General features: G+C 40.4%; 1 protein-coding gene and 1 pseudogene across 34 annotated transcripts in view, besides 1 other annotated feature; one reads left to right on the top strand and one right to left on the bottom strand.

Annotated features, from left to right (window-relative positions):
- The window catches only part of SIPA1L1 (signal induced proliferation associated 1 like 1), a 420,734-nt gene that overhangs the window by 395,199 nt on the left and 2,459 nt on the right, over positions 1-23,076 (bottom strand). For 3 of the 34 annotated variants that reach the window (XM_047431224.1, XM_047431242.1, XM_047431231.1), the window contains exon 1: positions 23,017-23,076. The exons of 30 other annotated variants lie outside the window; for them this stretch is intronic. The gene's annotated coding sequence lies outside the window, so the exon portion shown is untranslated. One more of the 34 variants, XM_047431220.1, reaches the window with a different exon arrangement.
- Positions 15,205-15,864, top strand: LOC729941 (PDZ domain containing 11 pseudogene; annotated as a pseudogene).
- Positions 20,910-21,209: an enhancer, noted in NCBI's record as "active region_8673". NCBI's record gives its function as "activates an Ori minimal core promoter by ATAC-STARR-seq in GM12878 lymphoblastoid cells {active_cell/tissue: GM12878}" and the evidence as "EXISTENCE:reporter gene assay evidence [ECO:0000049][PMID:35858748]".

The raw sequence follows: 23,076 nt of genomic DNA, 5'->3' as shown, positions 1-23,076 counted from the left end.
GCTTGAATCCGGGAAGCGGAGGCTGCAGTGAGCGAAGATCGTGCCACTGCACTCCAGCCTGGCAACAGAGACTCCATCTCAAAAAATAATAATAATAAATTATACAAATTTATTCAGGGATGCATATAAGAGTAAGCTCTGGGTGCCAGGCGCAGTGGCTCACGCCTGTAATCCCAACACTTTAGGAGGCCGAGGCAGGCGGATCACGAGGTCAGGAGGTGGAGACCATCCTGGCTAACACGGTGAAACCCCGTCTCTACTAAAAATACAAAAAAATTAGCCGGGAGTGATGGCGGGCGCCTGTAGTCCCAGCCACTCAGGAGTCAAGAGAATGGCATGAACTCGGGAGGCAGAGCTTGCAGTGAGCCAAGATCGCGCCACTGCACTCCAGCCTGGGCGACAGAGCGAGACTCCATCTCAAAAAAAAAAAAAAAAGAGTAAGCTGTGGGAAAAATCAAGTTGCAAAGACATAGTCCTGGCCTTCAAGGTCTAATGAAGCAAATACAGAAAAATAATTTTAATATGCTTTGGCAAAGCTCCCCCAGCTTCCCTCTAACTTGGCACTTAAAACTGAGCTGTAACTTTCTGTTACTTGTCTATCAACTTGGCTTAATCCTACAGAGGTGAGGACATCCTTTGAATCCCAAAGGACTGGCACAGTGCACTGCATATAGGAAAGCGTCAACAACTGTCTGATGACTGAATAAGTGCATGAAAGAGCATGAGTATGCACGGAGAACCAAATATCTTCCACATAGTACCCGTCTCCCACACAGTGCCCTCTTAACCTCTGCTCCATTACAATCCCAGTCACACATGGCCATAGTACAGTCCTTACTAAGGTGGGTAGGTAGCAAACTACGCCAGGAAAATACCCAAATTGACTCCTCCTGCTCTCCTTCTCCCCCACTCCCACCTGGGCTCTTAGCCTTCCTACCCTTAGCCTTCCCCAGACACCCAGGGGAAAATGTTCAGGATGACCTTTCAAAGAAAACTACTGATGAGATGGAATTTTCCTGTGCAGTGCAGATGACATTTATTTTACAAATCCAAGAATCCACCATGATAATTCAAATGAAATATATCTTTCCATTAAGGTCCTTCAAAATCCAAGAGAAAGACACTAGAAAAAATTGAAAAGTTGGCATGCCAGGCACAGTGGCTCACGACACCTCCTAGCAGTTTGGGAGACTGAAGCTGGCGGATCACTTGAGCTCAGCAGTTGGAGAGCAGCCTGTGTAACGTGGCAAAACCCCGTCCGTCTCTACCAAAAAATACAAAAAATTAGCTGGGCATAGTGGCGCACACCTACAGTCCCAGCAACTCAGGAAGCTGAAGTGAGAGGATCACTTGAGCCCAGGAGGCAGCGGTTGCAGTGAGCCAAGATTACACCACAGCATTCCAGCCTGGGCAACAGACTGAGACCCCATCTCTCTCGATAGACAGACAGACAGACAGACAGATAGAGAAATTTTTAAAAACCTGAAAAGTTGGGAGGGCTTGTAAGAAGCCCTGGGTCCAACATCTATTGGACATCTACTATATGTCAGGCACTGGGCCTGCTGCCTTACAAGTGACATACTAAAAGCTCTCACTCATTGATCCTAAATCTAAACTGTGGGAAGGGTGCTATATACATTGTCTCATTTCATCTTTATAATAACCTTGAGTTAAGCATCATCATCTTTTCCTTTTAAAAATTAAGAAAGAGGTTGAGGAATTGTCTGAGATCACTGTGGTAGGGCGGAACCCAGGTCTCTGGTTCCAAAGCCTGCATGTGCCCCTACCACTTAATATGAAACACTATGACTGTAAACAAGCAATTAAATCCAATTCCTAAATCTGAACTACAAAAATGAGGGAAATACTTCCTTCAAATGTTTGCTATGAACATTAAATGAAACACTGACTTCAAAAAAAGTGCTAGTACCTAAGAGACCCTTCAAAAAAAATGTTTTTTCCTTGCTTCTCCTATTATAAATTCTCCAAACCTTAAACCGTGGACACGCAGTGGACACTGCAATCTAAAAATCATCTCGCATATTCTGTCCTAGAGGGAAGACTCCATTTACTCATCTAGCATAGATTAGTATCTGAGAAAAGCATCTGGAATGCCAATTACCACCTCATCAAGTTTTAGAACACAACACACTTGTAACTTGGAAATCTAAGGTAAACACTGTTCTTGGTTTTGTTCCCTGATACTTTCTTCCTGAGAACTCCCAGACATCCCTTCCCCAAGATGCTGCTTCCACAGCATGGTCCCCCACAACAGCAGAAACATTTCTGGGGGCCTTTTTTTCCTTTCCCTCATCAAATTTCACCTTAAAGCCTTTTACTGGACAGAGCTCTGTTCTGCTTGTTTTTAGAAGCCATTTTTTAAAGACAAGAAACATGAAAGTAGTAACAGTGGTTATTCTTGGGTGGCAGAATGATGGATGACATTTTTCTTCCTCATACTTTCCTGTATTTTCCAAATTTTCCACGAAGTCTTATATACTGCTTCCATAATACAAAGAGGAAAATATCAAAGACGGTACATTTAAATTATTTCCTTCATCTCCTGATAAGATATTTTTCTCTATTCTTCCTGAATTCCCAACTAGCTGGAAGCATCCTGAGAACAGAACTGCAGTGTTATCTACGAAATACATAGCTCATCCACAGCCAGCGCCTGACATGAAACAGCTCAAAAAGTATTTGCTGAGTGGATGATGAATATTAGGTAATATTTAGAAACGGACTTTGTGGATTGATGGTGGGTGGACCAAGGTTTGAGGGTGGCATGTCCTCAATACTGTTGGATTATTGTGGTTATAGGACATTATTTAAAAGGTAGCTTTCAAACACTCTTAAGCAGGTCAACATGAAAAGTCTGTAACGTGAAGTCAAGGTGAACCAATCAAGGTGATTTATTGTTGCAATGGTAAACCAAGAACAGGATGATAAATAGGCTAAGGTCCTTGCACATCTTGCTATAAATGAGTGCACCAGGAGTGGAATTCATTAAATAATTTTGGAGCTCTCTGCCATTTAGAAGGCACATCGTGGCCTTCTTTGGCCACGAAAGTTTAACAATCCTTTTTAAAATTAATCTTCGTTCTTAGGAGATTAAATAAAACTAAATATTAAAGCAAACGAGAGATTAAGATAAAACCACCCAACCTAGTTATTATACCACCAAAAATCCTTATCTAATAAACCAAAGCAAAAATCTTGAGGATTTATAAACATGAAAGAGAAATCTCAAATATTTGGTTTGGAGAAATGAGCTGTACGTAAGGTTTAAAGTGGGTATACTGGATTCAAAAAACATACACAGTCCAAAACTCAATAGAAAAGTTCAGGTATAAAAAAAGTACTCCTTTCCCATCATAATCTAAGTTAACTACAAGAACTTTACCAGCAATTTCATTTCTGTCTGATCAACTGAACATGCTTCCTAGATGAATACTTGGAAAAGCCAAGACTGAACTTACACTTGTATTTTCGGTATTTTCAATTAACTTCACTTCCATCAACATCTCTTTAAAAATCTGTATATTTCTAGGGGACTCTTATACACTGTTGGTGGGAATGTATATTAGTTCAGCCACTGTGGAAAGCAGTTTGGAGATTTCTCAAAGAGCTTAAAACAGAGCTACATTCAACCCAGCAATCCCACTACTAGGTATATACCCAAAGGAAAACAGGCCAGGTACGGTGGCTCACATCTCTAATCCCAGCACTTTGGGGGACAAAAAATGGCCCCCAAAAATGCAGGTGGATCATTTGAATCCAGGAATTTGAGACCAGCCTGGGCAACAAGGCAAAACCCCATCTCTACAAAAAATATAAAAATTAGCCAGGTATGGTGGGGCACAACAACAGTTCTAGCTACTCGGGAGGCTGAAATGGGAGAATCACTTTAACCCAGGAGGCAGAGGTTGCAGTAAGCAGAGATGATACCACTGCACTCCAGCCTGGGCAACAAAGTGAGACCCTGTCTCCAAAAAAAAAGAAGAGAAGAGCAAGTCATTCTACTGAAAAGACACATACACTCACACGTTCCTCACAACACTATTCACAACAGCAAAGACATGGAATCAAAGGAGGTGTTCATCAACAGTGGGTTGGATAAAGAAAATATGGTACATATACACCACAGAACACTATGCAGCCACAAAAAAAGAGTAAAATCATGTCCTGTGCATCAACATGGATACAGCTGGAGGCCGTTATTCTAAGCAAATTAAAGCAGGAAAAGAAAAAGCAAATACCACATGTTCTCACTTATAATTGGGAGCTAAACGCTGGGTACTCACGGACATAAGAATGGCAATAATAGACACTGGAACTACTAGAGAGGGGAGAGAGAGAGGGAGGGATGAGTTGAAAAACTAACTGTTGGGTACGATGCTCAGTACCTGCATAACGAGATTATTAGAAGCCCAAACCTCAGCATCACACAACATACCCACGTAACAAACCTGCACCTGTACCACTGAATCTAAAACAAAAGTTGGGGAGAAAAAAATCTGTATATTTCTAATATGCCTCCAGCCTCTTAAAAGACATGTATTTCAAAACAAAGCAGATGCTGACTTGATGACAGCCCGATAATTTTAGGGCAATAGGCAGAAGTCAAGGACAAGATGACAATTGCACAATCCATGCTGCAAGATGAAAAAGAAAGCATTTCACCCCAAAAAATAAATGTCTCAAGCTTCCTGTCTTGCTCAAGTTGGGAAGTAACGTGAAGATGTTCTTACTAGAAAAAACTCTGTGGTTATTACAAACTTAGTGAAGATTTACATTTATTTCACCTAACTATATATATTCACATTTCACCTAGCTATTCATATTAAAAGCATCTGCAATCCCGGGCCTTGGACTTCCCTCGGCAGGTGTCAGCCCACTGTGGAAGTTGCTCCCCACATCTCAGTAAGTTCTGTTGGCCAGAAAGGACATTCAATGACAAGCACTACTTTAAATACACTATCCATGACTTTTCTCTAGGTGTCAGAGATACTAGTACATCTTCACCTCCTGAAAGTTCACTTATATACCACTTAACTTTTATTTCTTTTTTTGAGACGGAGTCTCGCTCTGTTGTCCAGGCTGGAGTGCAGTGGTGCAACCACAGCTCACTGCAGCCTCTGCCTCCCGGGTTCAAGCAAGTCTCCTGCCTCAGCCTCCTGAAAAGCTGGGACTACAGGCATGCACCACCATGCCTGGCTAATTTTTTGTATTTTTTTAGTAGAGATGGGGTTTCGCCACGTTGGCCAGGATGGTAACTCCTGACCTCAGGTAACATCAAATTTTTCTCAGTAAAGCCTACAATAGGAAGAAATGAGGGAAAGAAAAAGAAATGGTATTAACTCTTATGCAAACCACGCCTGAGTCTCCTCAGGTAAACAGGAGAGCATCAGAAAGTTAGGGGAGCATCGGAAAACTAGGGGAGCATCGGAAAGCTAGGGAAGCAACTGAAAGCTAGACAAGTTATTTAGCCTTTCTCAGTTTCCTTACATCTGTTAAATGTTGATAATACCTATTTTTCAGGAATTTCATGAGGATAAAATGAGATGGAATAAGTAAAGAACCTAACACAGAATGAATTCACTGGTGTTGTTCAGCAAAAGATATTTATGGTCATTACTAACTGGGCACTAGGGCCGACACCGTGACAGGCCAAAGTCCTACAACAGATAAGAAAAAGAAACCACCAAATGGGTCACACACCAACTCTGTGAAATCCAGATCATTGTTAAAGATACGAAAAAAAAAACAGTCCCTGACTTTCCATTTGGGCACAACATGAATGAATAATAAACCATATACCATGCTTAAAACTATAGTAGCAAGATCAGCCTTTCATTGGAGAAACAGATGAAAATCTTTTATTATCAGTACAGCATAGTGTTTAAAACGAATTATAAGTTTAACAGGGTGGTGGTCATAGCTACCTATTATAAGCAGACAGGCTTTCTGGCATTCCCAACAAAATATGCTTTATGCACACAGCCAAAATATGACTGCAATTACTCTGGTCCCAACAGATGACTGCATTAGATAACGCCTCAACTCAGTAGCTGCTACAATCTATGTTAAGAGAAGCAGAAATTCTGTAACAGGAACTCAATATCCTGGCTCCCACAGAGTCCTAATGTCTATCTCACAGGCTTGTTTATAAAGATTAGCAATAATGTGACACAAAGTGCCTGACACAGTGGTTACTCAATAAATGATAGCTGACATTAATTACCAGGAAGCAACAAAATCTAAAGCCAGAACCTGCCATGAAACAAATGAAGATAGAGTGGCTCCTTCTCAACCAAGACATTAAGTTGTATGAAAACACTTGGATAGGCCTGGCACGGTGGCTCACGCCTATAATCCCAGCACTTTTACAGGCTGAGGCAGGCGGATTACCTGAGGTCCGGAGTTTAAGACCAGCCTGGCCAACATGGTGAAACCCTGTCTCTACTAAAAATACAAAAAATTAGCCGGGTGAAGTGGTGAGTGCCTGTAATCCCAGCTACTCGGGAGGCTGAGGCAGGAGAATCACTTGAACCCAGGAGGCGGAGGTTGCGGTGAGCCGAGATCATGCCACTGCACTCCAGCCTGGCCTACAGAGCGAGACTTTGTCCCAAAAAAAAAAAAAAGAAAGAAAGAAAAGTAAAGAAAACACTTAGATAAAGAACATAGTACTAAGCCCTACCACAAGGAGGGCTTGTCAGTAAACATCGGGTTAATCATCTTGCCAGTCAAGAAGGAATCCCAAAGTGCCCATTCCTCTGGGGCAAATAAAGAACCATGAAAAAAAGAGAAATGGTCTCTATCCTCAGAGAATCTATACCTACCTGAGGAGAAATCACATGGTTTCAGCTCTCTGTCTGCATTACTCCCTTGACTCTATGCTCCATGAAGGCAAAAACCAAAAACTTTATATTGCCATATAATACAGGCACTCAATAAATATCTGGTAATCTGGCCATGCACAGTGGCTCACACCTGTAATCCCAGCACTTTGGGAGGCCAAGGCAGGCAGATCACTTGAGGTTGGGAGTTCAAGACCAGCCTGGCCAACATGGTGAAACGCCATCTCTGCTAAAAATACAAAAAGAAGCCGGGTGTGGTGGTGCACACCTGTAATCCTAGCTACTCGGGAAGCTGAGGAAGGAGAATTGCTTGAACCCAGGAGGCGGAGGTTGCAGTGAGCCGAGATCACACCATTGCACTCCAGCCTAGGCAACAAAGTGAGACTCTGTCTCAAAAAATAATAATAATAAATAAAAATAAAATAAATAAAAATCTAGTAACCAAATGAGCCTCATAGGATCTCAGGACTAAAAGAGCCACCTAATTCAAAACTTTCCAAGCCTGGCTTCACAGACTGCTCAACCTAAACTCTCAAGGTGGAGGCTGAGAATCTGTGTATTTAAATGCCCCCGGATGACTGTGACACTCGAGACAGATAATCACTAGTGTAACTGAGCCCATGTGAATCATGTGAACGCCCTTTACAATGACCCTGTCCAGAAATGATCCAGCCTTATGCATTAGGGCCTCCAACGATGGGACACAGCCTATCACAACTGCAAGCACCTGGACCAGCAAAGTCCTTTCTAATGTTTACTCAAATATCTGTATTTACTCTACTCATTGGTTCTGTCCTGTGAGGCCTGAGAAGACAAAAGGTAACCTCTCCTCCTTCCACTTGATGGACTTTTGACTCCTGCGACAAAGGATGATGCCCCTCTGAGTTTTCTCCAGGCTAAACACCCTTGATGAACTATGCATTAATCATTAAGTGCTAGGCTCTTTAAGTGCGCAACACAATACAACAACATGTCAGAGAAGGGAGAAATCAGGGTGTGTTATGGTAACCAGCAAGACATCAATGAAGAAGGTGGGTCTTGAAGGATGAGAAAGACAGGGATAAAACTAGTGTTCAGGGGCTGGTGCCCAGAGGGAAAAGGGAGACAAGATACTGATAAGGAGTACCATATGCAGGGAAGGGTATAAGAGTGATAAAGCAACAAATGAGGAAATTAGTAGATTTCACATACATTTTTCTTTTTTTAAGACATGGTCTCACTCTGCTGCCCAGGCTGGAGTGCAGTGGCACTATCTCTGCTCACTGCAGCCTCGACCTCCTGGCCTCATGCGATCCTCCCATCTCAGCCTCCTGAACAGCTGGGACTACAGGCATGCATCACCATGCCTAGCTTATTTTTTGTAGAGACAGGATTTCACCATGTTGCCCAGGCTGGTCTCCAACTCCTAGGCTCAAGTGAACCATCCATCTCAGCCTCTGATACGGTTTGGCTGTGTCCCCACCCAAATCTCATCTTGAATTGTAGCTCCCATAATTCCCACGTGTCATGGGAGGGAGCCGGTGGGAGATAATTGAATCATGGATGCTGGTCTTTTCCATGCTGTTCTTGTGATAGTGAATAAGTCTCATGAGATCTGATGGTTTTATAAAGAGGAGTTCTCCAGGACATGCTCTCTTGCCTGCTGCCATGTAAGACGTAACTTTGCTACTCATCTGCCTTCTGCCATGATTGTGAGGCTTCCCCAGCCATGTGGAACTGTGAGTCCATTAAGCCTCTTTCCTTTATAAATTACCCAGTCTCAAGTATGTCTTTATTAGCAGTGTGAGAAGAGACTGATACAGCCTCCCAAAGTGCTGAGATTACAAGTGTGAACCACCGCACCTGGCCTCCATACTTTTTGAATTAAATATAACTAAAACTGAAAACGAACTGAAGATTTTTCGAAAATCAGAATAGGACGGAAGAGGACAGAGCAAAGTCCTAGCATAGGAAGGCAGAGACATAGTCTGGTAGAGGCCAAAAATGGAGAGACCAAATAGGAATGTCGTAAAAGCAAGCAGGAAAGTATGACTTTGATGTAGCAAAGTATTAGAGCCACTTGAGTTCCTCCAGGGTGGCACATGTAACTAAGTGGTCCCTTAGAAAGAATGATCAGACAAGATGGCCTGGAGAATGGGACAGCGGGAGTCAAACGGGTCAGAAAGGAGGCCTAAGCCTAGATACAGCCGCTTAGATACAGGGGTCAAGGTCCACTCTAAGACAGTGACAATAAAACTAAGAGCAAAAGCTAAAAAAATCAATTCAAAGGGAAAAAAATGATAAAGCTTGGTCACAGATCAGAGCAAAAGTAAAAGAAAGGGAAGAATCAGAAACGACTTCTAAGAGCTGCAAGAAATTCGAGGGAAAAACAGGATAATACTCTGGAAAGGTGCGGTAAAACAATTACGCAATCACATGTACTGAATGCACTGGTGGATTAGTACTAGGGTGGTTTTATTTTATGAAAGCTTCAAAGTTCACTCCCTGTTCTACAAACACACTTAGTAACTGGTCGTTTTGCTATTTTCTCTGGTCCCAGCACAGGTTGTAGTTTCTGTGTCAGCAGACAGGGAATATTTGGTTTTGAATCCTTAAATCTGTAACATTACCACCAAAGTTAAAGCGCTTGCAAAAAATGTGCTTTGACAGAGCTAGGTGAAAGAAGCCAGTCACAAAACACAAAATATTGTATGATCCCATTTATATGAAACACATAGAAGAGGCAAATCTATAAAGACAGAAAGTAGGTTAGTGGTAGCCTAGGGCTAGGGTCGGAGAGGAGGGGTGCGGCTGGAAAGAAATGGGGGGTGACTGCAAATGGGCTTGGAGTTTCTTTGCGGGGTAATGAAAATGTTCTAAAATTGTTTATAGAGATAGCTGCAGAACTGTATGAATATACTAAGAACTACTGACTTTTTAATTTAAATAGAGAATTATAACTCAATAAAGTTGTTATTTAAAAAAACTTTAGGAGTACATAAATAATTACTGCAACCTCAGACGCTCAGCATCTCTCCAATAAAAGCAACTATTGCACTTAAGTTCAAATAAATAGCCATCAGACAATTTGGAAAGCCTAAAAGATACTTTAGGAAGACTAAGACAGTCATGTTCCTTCTAGGGGGAAAAATTAAGCATGAAAAAGATACAGATTTAAACATATAGATCCCCTTTAAATTAGTTGTTACAATTGACCAAAATTTTCTAATATGTACTTAAAAAGGAAAGACAAGGTTTGAGGTTTCTCTTCAACAATTATGAACAATTATGTCAAGTAATATACTGGGTACCTATGGTTCAGTTTCTTAGAGGCTGAAACAAAATAATGTACAGTAAGCCAATTCAATGAAAAGCAAAAGACTATGTAACTTAACAATTATTAAGCGGATGGGTAAACCTATTTTATAAATCTGAAGACCTAACAAAAACCCTCATGTAGAGAGAGGTCCTTTTGCTCAAAACATATAAGAAAACTATCCAAAATAACTTCTGCCCCCATGATATCTCCTGAAAAACATGGTTCCTACCTCCCTGAGGCCTTCATTATTAAAGCGATTACCATTCTCTTTCCACTGAACACTTAGAATGCTTACTTAGATGGTATTCCAACGGTTACCATACTTACTTAGATGGCAGTCATCAAGTTATATTCACTGCATGTGTCAGGACCTTTCTAAATCAGAGGACCTGCAATGGGCGCACACTGCTGATGCCCAGTGGAACCTTGCTGACTGATAATCAAACGAGGACAGCAGTGAAGAGTGATAGTGTTTCTGTTCAAAACTGCTTGTGGATTAGAAGAACCCAAAACCACCACATCTGTTGGCTAAAGACATTTTTTTTTCTTTTGAGACACAGTCTCACTCTGTCGCCCAGGGTAGAGTGCAGTGGCACGATCTTGGCTCACTGCAAGCTCCGCCTCCTGGGTTCACACTCCATTCTCCTACCTCAGCCTGCCAAGTAGCTGGAACTACAGGCGCCCACTACCACGCCCGGCTAATTTTTTGTATTTTTGGTAGAGACGGGGTTTCTCCGTGCTAGCCAGGATGGTCTTGATCTCCTGAGCTCGTGATCCGCCCGCCTCAGCCTCCCAAAGCGCTTGGGATTACAGGCGTGAGCCACCACGCCCAGCCAAGACATTCTTAAAGGAACAATCAACTGGTAGGAAAGTATAGATTATAAAAGTACTACATTTCAAATATATAACTATTTACTACTACCTCTAATGACAGACATTTAATAAATTCAAAATGACACTGATAAAAATACAAGACTGATGCTTTCAACATGGTGGATCCTAAGCAAATTTTAATTCAATAGATTCAAATACATACTTAATGTATTTCACCTGCCTGAAAAAAAGTAAAGCAGTCAAAAAAACTAGAATATATAAGTTTTCTGAATCAAGAAACATGAAGAGCGGTCTCCCAAAATCATCTGACCTATTAGACCCTATCTGTTAATGGATTCAAGTTATGGAAAAAGCCTAAAATAAAGAATTTGAGAAAGATAAGAGCCATTTTTCTACTACAATACCCTCCCACCTAAATAAATTACTTTGGCCCAAAGCTATGTTTATTAAGAGGCAAGTCTGGTACCACACTCTCAAGTATGGTTCTACACAAAATGAAGCCCTCTGACACCCTGGAGATAACTGAAATACATACATACCAAGTTCTCCCAGAAGCTGCCCAGGAATTGCAGGAGGGATCAAAGAGAAAGCTTTCACATCTACTGGGAAAGAAACCAGGCTTTGGAGGGCATATGCTAACTTTCCACAATACAATGTGGCCTATGAGTTAAATAGTGCAAAGGAGACCACAAAGGACACAAGATGGTAGCCAGTCTACTTTCCAGAAATAATGTAAGACACAGCTTTACAAGTTTTAACTTTTTTTTTCTCATTTGATCTCAAGAATTCTGAGAAGGGCAGACACTCTCCCCATTTCACAGATGAGAAAACTAAAGCTCATGAAGACTGACAGACCTGCCCAGCTGCCTACCTGACTGCTCCACTTGGCAAGTCAACTTGCATCTCATACCCAACATGCACAGATCAACTCTTAATACCACACCCAAACTTGCTCCTCTAGGCATCTCCATTTCAATAAATGGCATCCCCATTATTCCAGCTGCTCAGGCTAAACACCTCGGTGTCATCCTTGAGTATACTCTTTGTCACACTCCACATCATCTCACCCACCAGTGAATCATTTTAGCCCCATTTGAGATATATCCAGAAACCACTCACTTCTCATCACCTCCACAGCTGCTATCATATCTCACCTATAGAGCATTGCTAGAAACCTCTAACATCCCCCTATTTCCACCTTTGCACTCCTCCCCATTCTATTCCCCTACACAACAGAGTGTCACTCTTTAAAGATGTCAGACCAAAACCCTTTGTACAAAACCCTCCAGTGGCTTCCCATCTCACTCAGAGTTGTTTATTGATGTATCCCTAGGATGAGAACGTATCTGCCACCTACAAAATGCATAATGATACTGCTGATTAGTAAATGAAAGACAGCCAAAGTCACACAACTAGTATGTAGTAAAGCCAGGACTAGAACAAATCTTCCACTGTTCTTTGGTAACACTGAAACCAGATTTACGAAAAGCAACAATCGACATGGGAGGAAATTCTTACATTTTACTTTGCATAACTGAATCTTTTCATGTATAGTCAATACTATGTTGAATTTCCAACAAGTTAAAATGAAAATATCACTTTATAAAGCCATGAAATCTCACACTAGGAACTCTGAATATTACTTTTTTGGCAGCATGAGCAAATACCTGCTTAATTATCACAGTAATGGCACTCAGATCTTCAGTGTGACTGTTCTGCATTCAGTGACATGATGTTACCATTATCCCAAGACGACTACACATAAAAGATGACCATAGTCTAAAAGATTCAGAACCAAGCACCTAGAAGAGGTAACAAGCATTTCCAAATCTCCTACACACACATTATACCAATCATCTGAAACAGGCATTAAGTTTCCAGGGTGCTACCTGTAACAACAGAAAGGTTAGATTCAGAACTGTCTACTACCAAAATTAAAAAGAAAAACTCTGAGCTGAGTTTAAATGTTGATTGGTTTCAGCTCAGAATGAACTAACACTAAAATTATCCACCATTATAGAATTTTCTCACTAAAATATTTTAGAGTTAAAAACAAATACTCTAAATTTCTTTCTTCAGTTCTTTCAAAAATATTTCTACTATCTATAAAAAGGCCTAAATCTTACTAAATCATAGTAATAAATTTATAGAATTTTTACAGTAGGTCTTAAAGAAAACTGAATTCAACCCTCAATTTTCTCCCTTTTACAAGGATTATTTGATACATAACAGGTAAACAATGAAGACTTATTAAGTGAATGAAGAAATGAATGAATGAATGAAGATGCAGAAGGGTTATATGACTCTTCAAAGCTCCAGCAATCAATATCAAACCCAGGACTAGTCATAACTAGCTTTCCAGATTCTTTTGGGGTGGGTGTGGGAGTAGAAGAAACCAAGATTTAAAAACCCTATCTGGGTCCTCAGGAAAATCTTAACCAAAAGGCATTACAGCCAGTTTCCTTTGGTACTCTTTCTTAGAAAAGCACTTGATAAAATAAATTTTGCCAAGATATATCTCCTTGGAAACCAAAATGCAGTTGACTGTTTATTTCTCTCTATATATATAAATAATATTTAATATAGGACCATAAACAACTGCAATTGTTTTTGCACCAAAACAGGTGGCCTTTGACTAAAAGAAAAATCCAACTAGAGGAGAGGAACAGAACATTGACAAGGGCCACATAAGTCACTAGAAGAGTATCAGCTATACAAGGACAGGAACCATGTATCCTGTTTACCAGCAGCAGCCACCAGTCCCTGGCATATAATGGGATTCAATAAACACTTACAGGAAAAGTGAATAAATTACTCCTTAGAGACCCACCTATGCAAACAAAAATTCATATGGTCACCATTCAAATACCTTGCAGATACAAATTCATTTGGTCACTAATAAACAAATCTTTATGGTAGGCCTACTACATACAAGCATACTACATTATTCCTCCATGGAAATTCTACCAAATGTCCCTTCAAATAATATACTCAACCAAAATTATCCCCATCATTGTATTAAGATGATGAGAAAATATTTCTTAAGTAGCCGAAATTTGTTCCTATAGCAGCCACTAAATTTGCTGTTCTGGCTTCAATCTTTTGCCTTCAATTCATCCTGTACAACCCAGCCAGATCAGTTTTCTGTTTTTTTGTTTTTGTTTTTGTTTTCATTTTTTAACACATCCAAAATATAAAACAGTGCTGTGGTTAAGTATTCTACCTTCATATGGGGCCCACTGCTATTCAACAAGCAGATACAGGAAATCTGAAACTACTGGCTTGGAAAAGGAAAGACAACACAGCATCAAGGAAAAAATTACCACAAGTGACAGTTCTTATAATAATTTCTCTAAATCACTGTGATGCAACTGACACAGAGTGTTGGGTATGAATACCCACTAAGGTACACATCTGACTGTTGTGATAATTCAAGATTCATTGCCTTTTTGAAGCTTTCCCAAGCCACTGGACTCTGTATGTGTGAAAGTACTTTGCAAACCGGAAGTGCTAGACACACAGCTTTTACTATGCTCCTTGCCAATTGGTAGCCTCATACGTTCTGCCATTAAAATCATCTTACCTCATTCTCTAAGTGTGTCTCGATCCTTCAAAAACAGGAAAAATTCTTTGAATTGTTTAATGTCACTTCTTTATTATTCAATATCTAGAACAGCATAACTTAAAAGTGCCATTTATACTTCCCGATTTCAGAACATATTACCAATCAAAACAGTGTGATAATGGCATAAAAACAGACAAAGAGACCAATAGAATAGAATAGACAGCCCAGAAATAAACCCACATATATAGTCAAATGATTTCTGGCAAGGGTGCCAAGACCACTCAATAAGGAAAGGACAGTCTTCTCAACAAATGGTGTTGGAAAAAATAAGATACCCACATGCAAATGAATAAAAGTTGGACCCTTATACTATACATAAAAATGAACCCAAAATGGACTAAAGACCTAAATGTAAGACCTAAATTATAAAACTTCCAGAAGAAAATATAAAGAAAAAGCTTCATTACTTTGGACTTGGCAGTTACTTCTTAGATACGGCCAAAAGCAAAATTAGCCAAGTGGGACTGCATCAAACTAAAAAATTTTTGTGCATCAAAGGATACAATCAGCAGAGCAAAAAAGCAACCTGGAGTGGAAAAAATATTTGCAAATAATCTATCTCATAAGGTGTTAATATCTAGAATATGGAGTGAAGCCTGAGGTCGTCAGGGACAGCCCACTGGGCCTTGCCCGAGATAGACAGCCAGATTCCTTATGATGACTACCCGGTGGTTTTCCTGCCTGCCTATGAGAATCCTCCAGGATGGATTCCTCCTCATGAGAGGGTACCCCACCCAGACTACAACAATGAGTTGACCCAGTTTCCGCCCCAAACCATCACACTGAAGAAGCCTCCTGAAGCTCAGTTGGGATTTAACATCTGAGGAGGAAAGGCCTCCCAGCTAGGCATCTTCATCTCCAAGGTGATTCCTGACTCTGATGCACATAGAGCAGGACTTCAGGAAGGGGACCAAGTTCTAGCTGTGAATGATGTGGATTTCCAAGATATTGAGCACAGCAAGGCTGCTGAGATCCTGAAGACAGCTCGTGAAATCAGCATGCATGTCCGCTTCTTTCCCTACAATTTTCATCGCCAAAAAGAGAGGACTGTGCACTAGAGAGTTACAGCCCACAGCCCTTCATGTGGACTCTCCCACAACATGCTAACTAGACTTCAGGGGAGCCACTTCTACTTTCAGCCCCTCCCTGGAATAGTGGAGTTGGGAGGATGGGGAGACAGCTAACCAACTTCATTACCCAAACTGTATTGCACTTTTAGTTCCCTAGTTTTCTAGGCGAGCTTCATTTGGAGAAGGATGATGATATCTAGGCATAACCTAGCCCATGAGGAACCTAGTTAGGAAAGACAACTGACATTTATTGAATTCCATGTACTAGTCCTTTCCACCTGTCATATTTTAATTATAGAAATCAGTCGCCAAAAGAATCTTGGGGATTTTCTATCTGACTGGCCTGGCCATCTCATCCCATCCTTGTATTGCCAGAGGTTGCATACACTTTGGAGACTCCAATGAGAACCTGTTTTCACCCCTTCCTCCTCCTAGCCTCTCCCCAAAAAAGTAAAACACAATGCTGAAGGAAAAAAATATATACCCAGAATATATAAAGAACTCCTACAACTCAACAACAAAAATCAAATAACCCAATTTAAAAATGGGCAGAAGGCTTGAACAGACATATATGCAGAGATAATATACAAATGGCCAACGAGAATATGAAAATACAATCAACTTCATCAATCATCAGAGAAACATATATCAAAATCATAATGAGATACTACCTTGCATCCATTAAGATGGTTCCTATTTAAATTGTTTTTTTAATTAGCTCTGGGTGTGGTGGTGTACACCATTAGTCCCAGCTACTCGGGAGGCTGAGGCAGGAGGATTGCTTGAGCCCGGGAGGTGGACGTTGCAGTGAGCTGAGATGGCACCACTGCACCCCAACCTGAGTGGCAGAGGGAGACCCTGTCTCGAAAAATTTTTTATTAATTAATTTGAAAAAAAAAAAAACAGAAAATAAGTATTGGTAAGGATGTGGAGAAGTTAGAACCCTTATGAACTGTTGATGAGATTGTAAAATGGTACAACTACGAAAAACAGTATGGAGGTTCCTCAAAAAATTAAAAATAAAACTATCATATGATCCAGCAATCCCGCTTCTGGGTATATACACAAAATAATTAAAAGCAGGATCTTGAAGAGATATCTGCACACCCACGTTCATAGCAACAATCACAACTGCCAAATATCTATCCACAGATAAATGGATAAACAAAATGTGGTATACCCATACGACGGAATACTATTAAACCTTTAAAAAGATAGAAATCCTGTCACATGCTACAAACATTGATGAACCTTGAGGATTTTATGCTAAGTCAAATAATTCAGACACAGACAAATACTACATGATTCCACTTATATGAGGTTACCTAAAGTAGCCAGATTCATAGAAACAGAAAGAATGATGGTTGCCAGAGTCTGTGGGAGGTGGAAATGGGGGCCAATGTTTAATGCTTACAGAGTTTCAGATTCGCAAGATGAAAAAGTCCTGGAAATCTGTTTCATGACAAGGTGAATATACTTAACACTACTGAACTATATACTTAAAAATGGTTGAAATGGTCAACTTTTTCTGTTTTTACCACAATTTTTTTAAAAGAAGTGCCAACATACAATTATCAAATTGCATGTACATGTCCCATCTCCACTGCAGGAGTCTAAGCAGTCTGACCCTTTAAACTGTTGGCAGTCATTTGAGGAGTTATTCCAAGTTATCTTTTTGAATCAATGGGCCTCTACAAAAGATCCAGAGGCTCTCCTTTTTACCCATCCAAAATGAAGTTTCTACAATCCTCAGTTGGCTGCATTCTGGTTTAAGTCCACTACTTATTTACCTTATTGTCAAGCATAGATCTAAAAATTATATAAAAGCCACTGTGTTTTCAACTGGGTGGGGGAGAAGCATAACAGAATCACCTACTGAGCTTCTTCAAATCACCCATCAACCTCAATATCTAGCATTCTCCCCCAGGAGAAAAGCCTCAAGGTTCATGTGATTCTCTACTCAAGCACTCACTGCTTCCCCAAACACACATCCCACCCAAACCACAGAAAATCAGCACTTTTAACCACCACCTTGAAAATGGCCTTCAGAACAATCTCACCCAGATTAGGCTGAGGTTCCTGAACTTTTAATAAGCCTTTTCTGTGAATCCTACAGCTCTCTGTAACCTACCATTTATCTACTGAAACATTATTTTGTTATGCAATTTACTATACCTTGCTTCCTGTTACAAAGGATCATCATTAAGATCCTAATTTAAAAAATAAAACAATACTGAGACTCATCATTAAGATCCTAATTTAAAAAATAAAACAATACTGAGACTCTTTGAAGAATCACAGGCATTTCTCAAACTGGAAAAGAGACACAGTTTAGGAACCATATTCAGGCTTCCTAACATGTTTCACAAGAGCACATTCTGAGCTAGGAGTCAAATCTGCCCCCCACTACACAAACAAACACACAAGCATGCACACATATGCACACAGAGCACTCTCTTCGTATGTCAAATACCAGCTACTAAGAAGTTAGGCTCTGGGAAAGCATACTGGCAGAAGCTTCTGAGGTCTTCAGTGGAGCAGCTACAAGTATGGTTAGGGAAAAGGGAGGAGTTAAATCAACTACACATTTAACCCACATTTCAAGAACATGTGTTTCTGAAAAGTCTTTAAAAGTCAAGCAGTATGGTTCAGAGCCACAGCCCCATGATTCTTGCAAGAATATGGAAAAAAACTGACTCCATTTTTATTCCTAGGTATATACAGGTGAAGCAAGCAATAAAAGTCAAATTTGGTGAAAATTTTAGGACATCCTATTAATTTATATTTCTATATCTTATAAGCATCTCCTAATAAGCAGACTCTCTCTTCCTGAAGACATGGGATACCACAGTCCAGTTAGCAGCTAAGAGCATCAAGAACTGATGATAAGCATCAAGAACTGAAAAGAAACGTAAAATAGAAAAGAAATGTAAAAATAGAGGTTCAGGCCGGGTGCTCATGCCTGTAATCCCAGCACACTGGGAGGCCGAGGCGGGCGGATCACCTGAAGTCAGGAGTTCAAGACCAGCCTGGCCAATATGGTGAAACCCCATCTCTACTAAAAATACAAAAAATTAGCTGGGCATGGTGGCACACGCCTGTAGTTCCAGCTACTCAGGAGGCTGTTGCAGGAGAATCGCTTGAACCCGGGAGGCAGAGGTTGCAGTGAGCCGAGATCACATCACTGCACTCCAGCCTGCATGACAAGAGCAAAAACTCCGTCTCAAAAAAAAAAAAAAAAAAGATTTCAATCAATTCTGGGAGCTAGAGACTATTAAAGGAAAGGCAATGAGCCCAAAAAATACCAAATTAGGCCGGGCGCAATGGCTCACATCTGTAATACCAGCACTTTGGGAGGCCAAGGCGGGAGGATCGCTGGAAGTCAGGAGTCCTAGACCAGCCTGGCCAACATGGCGAAACCCTGTCTTTACTAAAAAAACAAAAATTAGCTGGGTGTGGTGGCACACGCCTGTAATCCCAGCTACTTGGGAGGCTGAGGCAGGAGAATCGCTTGAACCCAGGAGGCAGAGGTTGCAGTGAGCAGAGATGGTGTCACTGCACACCAGCCTGGGTAACAGACTCCATCTCAAAAAAAAAAAAAAAAAAAAGCAAATTACATTTCCTATCTAGATAAATAATTTACAATATGAAGAAAATGAATTACAGAAAGATAACATGGAGCCAGAGTAAAAGACACTGACCATAGTCAAGTCTTGATTATAGGAACACGATCGTTTGGCACACAGCCCTTTGCTTTTCTTTCTCAATAGCTTCTTTCTGAGCAGTTCAGAACTCATTATAAAAAGAAGCAAGTCGGCCAGGTGTGGTGGCTCCTGCCTGTAATCCCAGCAGTTTGGGAGGCTGAGGCAGGCGGATCACCTAAGGTCAGGAGTTTGAGACCAGCCTGGCCAACATGGCGAAACCCTGCCTCTACTAAAAATATAAAAATCAGCCAGGTGTGGCGGCGTGTGCCTGTAATCCCAGCTACTCGGGAGGCTGAGGCAGGAGAATCGCTTGAACCCAGGAGGCAGAGGTTGTAGTGAGCCGAGGTCATGCCACTGCACTCCAGCCTGGGTGACACAGCGAGACTCCATCTCAAAAAAAAAAAAAAAGAAGCAAGTCGCTGAACCACAAAACCATCAATGACTATACCTGTTCATAGCTTTGGTAAAAGGCTTTGTGGAAAAAGTAGAAAGAGAAAAGAAATAACCACAATTAACTTTCATATCTGTGAAATTCATTTAACCTAGACCTGCTCTGTGGGAGGAAAGAGGAAAAAAGGAATCCAATGGCAGCAGCACTGGCTGTCAGTTCTGCTCAAGTTGCCTTTGAGTGACCCCCGAGTTTGTGTGAACCAGCAATTCTCCCTCCCCAAGCTGGCATTCATAACAAGCACACATTCTCCTGCCTTTCCTGAATTGGAAAAAGGGAAATCTAACATTATGTAATTGCCTGCTTCCCGCAATTTCAACTTAGGCATACTAAATCCTAATTAGAGGGAGAACTTAGTGCAACATGACAAGCAACAAATTGGAAATCTACAGGTTGAAATTTCTCATCCCAGACTCCAGAGGCAAAGAGAAATGGCTTCGCCTGACTTTGTGGCACACCCACCAATGCACTACTACTTACTACGGGCCAGCTAAAGCAGCTCCTGACATCCCTCCATGTCATTTTGGTGTCATCTCTCTATGCCTTTAAGAAAACACTCTGTTCTATTTGCAAATGGGGTTATCTTACTCTCTCCAGGCCAGAATAAAAGGAGAAAATGGTTGTTGACTGGTGAACATTACCTACCATTAAAAGATCTGCCCTGATGGTTTTTTGTACCCTCATGATCACAAACCAAATCACTGTGTTGCTCTGTCCCTTATGCAAATCATCCATGTTTAAAAGACCCAGAAGCCACAAATCTTTCCCATGCTTCTAAGACTCACTCCAGAGCTCATCAACAGTCCACTGAATAAAAATAAATGAGCTATCATTTAAGAATAATTAACTTAAATATAACCTTTGAAAGCAAGGTGTCATCAAAGCATGTGGGTTTTGTTTTTGTTTTTGATTAGCTAGGCATAGAAAAAAACTAAAAGCAAAAATTCAATGAGGCCAATTGATTTCCCATACCAAAAAAGTAGAAGTGCAGCAGATAGAAGGTCAGATTGTCAGTCTCAAGGGATAGTGGAACACCCTTATTTTACTGCGTCTGTCTGTAGAATAAGACCCAAACTTCTGTGTGAGCAATGGCAGAATACCACAATGCTTATCTCTCCCGGAAGAAGGAAACCCCCTCACCTCAAGGGCATTCACCCAACCAGCAGGGAAGTTTCTTCTCTGCTGGCTCAGATTACTCCACTGGAAGGTAGGGTGGCGCAACATAAATCAGTCCCATTTTCAACAGGAAGCTCCTACACGTTCCTGTTTTATGTCCTGTTTTATCTCTCCACCTAACACCCCCAGCCCCAATCTCTGGTTACCCTTACATGTCGCTGAGAAAAAAGGTCTAAAATTTAGTTGGCCATGGTCCAGAAACAAGGATGGTACACCTAATTTCTTCCGCAAATGGAAATGAGTTTAAAAAGAGAAGAAAAAGATGAACCAAAATAAACTGAGTTTAGCTTTTCTAAAGAGCTAAAGAGTACATTATGCTCTGTGCAAATAAAGATTTCTTTAAAAATGAAACAAAACAAAAAAGCCTACAGGCTCTACTATGTAGAAACTTTAACTCATATTTTCTTTTTCTGTAACTTTGTCATTTAATTATGAAGCTCGGTTACCAATGTTGTTTTCATAGCTTTACAACCTCACCACAGATCGTTCGTTTCCTTAAGTTTTGCATCTCCTCATTTTGGATATTTAATAAATACTGAACTCTTAAGTGGGGGGAGAAAGTAGTAAAATTTTAACATAACAGGCTCTAAGGTAGGAAAAAAAGAAAAGAAACGAGTGCAATTAAATATGGACACCTGTCTTCCAATCACTGCCTAGTCATTAACCAGTTCTATAACCTTCAACAAATCACTTCAACTTTCTGGGCTTCAGTTTCCTCATACGTAAAATGGGAAACATGAGCCAAATGAGTCAAAATCCCTCCTAGTTCCAACAATCCATGAATCTGTCCAACAAAAAGTAAGAAAACCCTATTACAAATAAGACTTTATAGTTTACAAAGTACTTTCATACATGTATTCTCATCAATTTTTGTAGCTCATCTGTGAAGCAAGTCTTGAGCCCATCTCCGCAGGAAACAACAGTAAAGTTCAGAAAGAAGTTCAATTATTTTTCAATATCTCACAACGAAAATGGCAGGGCAGGTATTTGAAACCCAGACCTTCTGAGGACAAATTCTAGGTTACATTATTTCAAAATGTTAAAATATATTAAAATTCAAAAATAATTGCCTATTATGTATAACCTTTACGAGGGCATCAGGGTACCATAACTCCATGCCAGAAAATATTACTACAAATGGTCCCACTGGACTACAAGTTCCATGTGGCCAGGTACACTCTTGCTCATCACTGTAATCACAGAAACCAAAAGTGCACCTGCCAGATAGCAGCATTCAATAAATATTGCTTGACTCACCACTCAAAAGGTTAGGAATATAGGGATGCTATGGGGAAAAAAAGAAATTTCTGAATTTATTTTCAGATTTGAACTTCCATGATTTGATCCAAAGGGGAAAAAAAAAAGTGTGCTCTATCAGCGCTCTAGTTCTTTATTATGGGAATGAGTCTATTTGTCTTCCATAGAGAAAATCTAATATGGTCAGTGAACCAAAAGGCTCAAATCTGAGATGTCAACAAAAAATCTTCAGGATATTCATACTTCATTTGTGCACTGATACGGACCAATAACAATGATAATACAACGGTAAGGACTGATAAGAGGCACATAGTCACATTATTAATCATGACAAACTTTCCATCAAATTCCACTCTCATACCATTTCAGCTCTCCTCATGCTCCCATTTCACAGCTCAAACAGATTTTTAAAAAAAGAAAAACAGTCATTTATCTAAAAATTCAGATTGCAACTTAAGATAGAACATATATACATCACAACTCAACCAAGATCCCCCCGAAGTCTACAAAACTGCTAATCTCAAGCAATCTTCAATCTATGACTTCAATAAACTCACTAGAAAGTGTTTTTTAAAAGTTCCTAAACAATGAAGATGGGGGCACTATACCAAAATTACACACATACTTCAAAGCAAAAGCAAAGCAAATGCAGAAGCCTGAAAATACTAGTGTAAGGACAGAGACAAAAGAAGAGTTAAATGAATCTCAGTACAAAGTATCAGAGAGGTGCTTTGCAATTATTACCTGGAGTTGAAGTCAACCTTGCCATAGACTCCTCCAATGAAATCACAACTATCACTGACT

This window comes from Homo sapiens, chromosome 14 (genome assembly GCF_000001405.40).
Source record: "Homo sapiens chromosome 14, GRCh38.p14 Primary Assembly".
NCBI lineage: Eukaryota > Metazoa > Chordata > Mammalia > Primates > Hominidae > Homo > Homo sapiens.
The sequence above is the reverse complement of the archived record's forward strand: the minus strand, read 5'-3'. Positions and strand labels throughout refer to the sequence as shown.